General features: G+C 40.1%; 1 annotated feature.

The window, feature by feature from the left end:
- Positions 244 to 444: a silencer, noted in NCBI's record as "peak3758 fragment used in MPRA reporter construct". NCBI's record gives its function as "represses an SCP1 promoter by STARR-seq MPRAs in K562 erythroleukemia cells {active_cell/tissue: K562}" and the evidence as "EXISTENCE:reporter gene assay evidence [ECO:0000049][PMID:32103011]".

Here is a 4,833-nt window from a genome sequence, read left to right as displayed (position 1 = left end):
ATTTTGAATGGAGTTTATAGTGTCGAAATATCACACGTACTCACAAAATATGTACAACACTTAGGTATCCAGAAAAGAAACTGAAAAAGGCAAAAGAAAAGGAGACAGAACCGAAAGTAAAGCTGTGCCTCTGCAGATCAAACAGCTGAGCGGGCTACTTCCCAACCAACTTCCTACCAAAAATGACACTTGTTGATATTTTAAATAGAAGAGGCATACGGACAAAATTTGTTCCATCTTATGAAATAAAAACAAAGACAAAAATATCTTAATTCAACTCAATGAGTATTTTCCAAGGATGGAAAAAACATCCAATATACTGCCATACCCTTAAATACTCAAGGTGAATTAACGTTAAATATGGATGTTTACCCTTATCAGTTCCTGGCAGATATAAGTGCTATTCTTTCTGTATTAAATCTTGCCAACTTTGCTCAACTTCTTTCTTGTAGTAAATTTACCACACAGTTTGTCTGTATTTAATATAATACATGGATTTTTTTCTCTGTCTTCCATTTCTTAGACATAGCCCTTTCATTCCTTACTGAAACACATTATTTTCTGCTCTGCAATACTACTTCTTTAAATTCAACAGAGAGACACTCCCTTGGAAAATGGATTTGTAATTTTAAATGTATACCTGAGGGACTACTTTCTGAGGTTCCAGAAAACTACTCTGCTCATAATTAAGTTGTGTCTGCTCAGGATTTGACTTTGCCCTCTCCACCATATTAGATGCAAACCCCAGGTAAGGATCTTGGCACTGTACATGATACTCTAGGGGCTAAAAACTCCACTGACATAGGTAAAATGTTTGGAGCAAAATCTATTGATAGCTCCTTCCAAATTTTTACCCAAAATGTTCAGTATTCTTTGAAGCCTGAAGAAAAGGAGACACTCAAACCTATAGTTGAAAAACTTATATCCAAGGGTCATCTTGTAGCCTTCACTAGTACTCATAGCATTCCAATCCTATGATAAAGAAACAAAATAGATTTGTTTAAGACCTAAGGGCCATCAACAAATTCACTTCCTGGTAGTAACTAACCCCAACATCACCCTGTCATCAATTCCTCCTGAAGCCATTGGCTTCACTCTCATGGGTCTTTGCTTTGTCTTTTTTCAGTATGTGTCTAGACCAGAGAAGCAATATCTTTTGCTATCACTTGGGAGGGACAGCAGTATACCCAAATAATGATGTCACAGAGGTTCACTGAAGCCTCCTTTACATTTCCTAGACCCTCAATCAATTATTAAAGTTCTAAATTTCTGTTGTTGGGATAATAATATTGGAGTGTAAAAAAGACAATAAATATATTTGTATTGTGATTTAGTTCTGCTACAATTTGTATATTATCTCCTATTTTACTGAGAGAACAAGGAAGCCTGCAAAATGATTCCATTTACTGGCCCTCAGCAGTAGCAGAAAAAAAGACATATAATTTCAAAGATAAATTGCAACCATGAGAACATATTGTTTAGTACATGATGTATCTAAGAGGGAAAATGACCTCTTCTGATAGATTAAAGACTATCCAAACTTATTTTACATCCCATGTGAAATGATAATTAAGAAGACTCCTGGGTTTAACTGGATACTGCAGACCATGGCAACCAATTTTTTTCTGATTACAACACTTCTTTATGAATTGAATAAGTCTGCAGAAAGACACCCCCTGCTCTGGGATACCAAAGGTAAACATGCCTCTGTAATCTAAAGTAGGAATTCAATAGCCTCCCCTCCTTAGGCATCTGTTTTAGTTAGAATTCTCCAGAAAAATAGAACTAATAGTATATATGGCATATATATGGAAGAGAGGGAGAGAGACTTATTTATTATAAGGAATTAACTTACATGATTATGGAGGAGGTCTGGCAAGCCTAACATCTATAGAAGTGATGTCCAATTTTGAGTCCAAAGTCTGAAACTGTTGCAGAATAGGAAAAGCCAATGTCTCACTGTGAAGGCTATCAGGCAGAAAGAGGTGATGTTCCAGTTTGAAGAATGTCATACAGGATAATTCTATGTTACCTGGCAGAGGATCAGTCTTTTGCTTTGTTCAGGACTTCAAGTGATTGGATGAAGCTTACCCACATTATGGAGAATAATCTGCTTTACTCACTCTACTAATTTAAATGTCAGTCTTATCCAAAAGCACCTTGATATGGTTTGGCTGTGTCCCCACCCAAATCCTACATTGAATTATAATAATCCTTATGTGTCAAAGACAGGGCCAGTTGGAGATAATCGAATCATGGAGGCAGTTTCCCCCAGATTGTTCTCTTTCTTAGAAGCATTGGAACAGACTCATACAATAAATTTGTACTGGGTTGTGGGATGCTGCTGTAAAGATACCTGAAAATGTGGAAGCGACTTTGGAACTGGGTAACAAGCAGAGGTTTGAAGTTTGGAGGGCTCAGAAGAAGACAGGAAAATGTGGGAAGGTTTGGGACTTCCTAGAGACTTGTTGAATGGCTTTGACCAAAATACTGAGTGATATGGAATGAGGTCCAAGCTGAGGTGGTCTCAGATAGAGATGAAGAACTTGTTGGGAACTGGAATAAAGGTCACTCTTGCTATGTAAAGAGCCTGGAAGCATATTGCCCCTGCCCTAGAGATATGTGGAACTTTGAACTTGAGAGAGATGATTTAGGGTATCTGGGAGAAAAAATTTCTAAGTGGTGAAGTGTAGTGTTCAAGAAGAAGCAGAGCATTAAACTTTGGAAAATTTGTAACCTGACAATGTGATAGAAAGGAAAACCCCATTTTCTGGGGAGAAATTCATGCTGACTGTAGAAATTTGCATAGGTAATGAGGAGCCAAATGTTAATCACAAAGACAATGGTGAAAATGTCTCCAGGGCATGTCAGAGACCTTCACGACAGCCCCTCCAATCACAGACCAAGAAGCCTAGAAGGGAAAAAATGGTTTTGTGGGCCAGACCCAGGGCCTTGCTGCTTTGTGCAGTCTCAGGACTTGGTGCAGTCTCGGGACTTGGTGCAGTCTCGGGACTTGGTGCACTGCATTATAGTTATAGCTAAAAGGGACCAATATACAGTTCAGGCTGTTGCTTCAGAGGGTGCATGCCCCAACCTTGATGGCTTATATGTGGTGTTGAGCCTGTGCATGTACACAAGTCAAGAATCGATGTTTGGGAACCTCCGCCTAGATTTCAGAGGATGTATGGAAATGCCTGGATGTCCAGGCATAGGTGTGCTGTGGGATGGAGCCCTCATGGAGAACCTCTGCTAAGGCAGTGCAGAAGGGAAATGTGTGGTGGGAGCCCCCACAAGGAGTCCCTACTGGGGCACTGCCTACTGTAGCTGTGAGAAGAGGGGCACTGTCCTCCAGACCCCAGAATGGTATATCTGCCAACAGCTTGCACCATGCACCTGGAAAAGCTGCACTCAATGCAAGCCCATGAAAACAGCCAGAAGGGAGGCTTTACCCTGCAAAGCCACAGGGGTAAAACTGCCTAAGACCATGGGAACCCACCTCTTGCATCAGAATGACCTCACGTGACACATAGAGTCAAAGGAGATCATTTCATAGCTTTAAAATTTGACTGCCCCATTGGACTTTGGACGTGCATAAAGCCTGTAGCCCCTTTGTTTTGGCCACTCTCTCCCATTTGAAACAGGTGTATTTACCCAATGCCTGTACCCCCATTGTATCTAGGAAGTAATTAACTTGCTTTTGATTTTACAGGTTTATAGGAGGAAGGGGCTTGCCTTGTCACAGATGAGACTTTGGACTGTGGACTTTTGAGTTAATGCTGAAATAAGACTTTGATGGACTATAGGGAAGGCATGATTGGTTTTCAAATGGGAGGATATGAGATTTGGGAGGAGAAATGGGTGAAATGATATGGTTTGGCTGTGTTCCCACCCAAATCTCACCTTAAATTGTAATAATCCCCAAGCGTCAAGGGCAGAGTCAGTCAGAGACAACTGAATCATGGGGGTGGTTTTCCACATACTGTTCTCATGGTATTGAATAAATCTCGTGAGAACTGATGGTTTTATCAATAGGAGTCCCCCTGCACAAGCTCCCTGCCTATCATGTAAGATATGACTTTTCTCCTCATTTGTCTTCTGCCATGATTGTGAGGACTCCCTAGCCATGTGGAATTGTGAGTCAATTAAGCCTTTTTTCTTTATAAATTACCCAGTCTTGGGTATGTCTTTATTAGCAGCATGAGAACAGACTAATGCACACCCTCACAGAAATACCCAGAACAATATTTGATCAAATACCTGGGTACCTCATGGCACATACGTTTTTAAGTTGGCATGTAAAATTAACCATCACAGCATTCCTAACTACAAAGAGCTGTCTGTTAGTGCATAAGTGACTTACACAAGCCCTTGAGATTTTCACTCAATTTTATGGGAATCATCAAAAATCCATCACTTAATATAGCCTGCCTCTGATGCAGTTGCAAAGGATTATCCGTCTTGTCTTAGGGCAACAGCTGCCTCTGCAAAATGTATTAATAATCCTGATGACCTATTTCTAGGCTTCCCACTTGACCTCATGGATTCTCATGCAGTTCAGACATTACTGTTGATTTAGAAAACACAAATATTTTCAGCCAACCAATTAATCTCTTATGAGATTCTATTACTCACCTCCTCTCACATTACTATTCACCCTTACAAAATCCTGAATCCTGCCACTTTCCTGCCCATGCCAGAATAAGGAAAGCCTCATGATTGTCTTAGTTGGGGAATGCTCTGTGCCTTACTCTCCCTTCTTAAAGGCTCCTAATGAAACCCTGATCTAATGTTATTGATAGATCATATTTTAAATCTGAAACTGGAGATAATCAA

Source organism: Homo sapiens, chromosome 2 (assembly GCF_000001405.40).
Source record: "Homo sapiens chromosome 2, GRCh38.p14 Primary Assembly".
In the NCBI taxonomy this organism is placed as follows: domain Eukaryota; kingdom Metazoa; phylum Chordata; class Mammalia; order Primates; family Hominidae; genus Homo; species Homo sapiens.
This window is presented reverse-complemented; position numbering and strand designations above follow the sequence as displayed.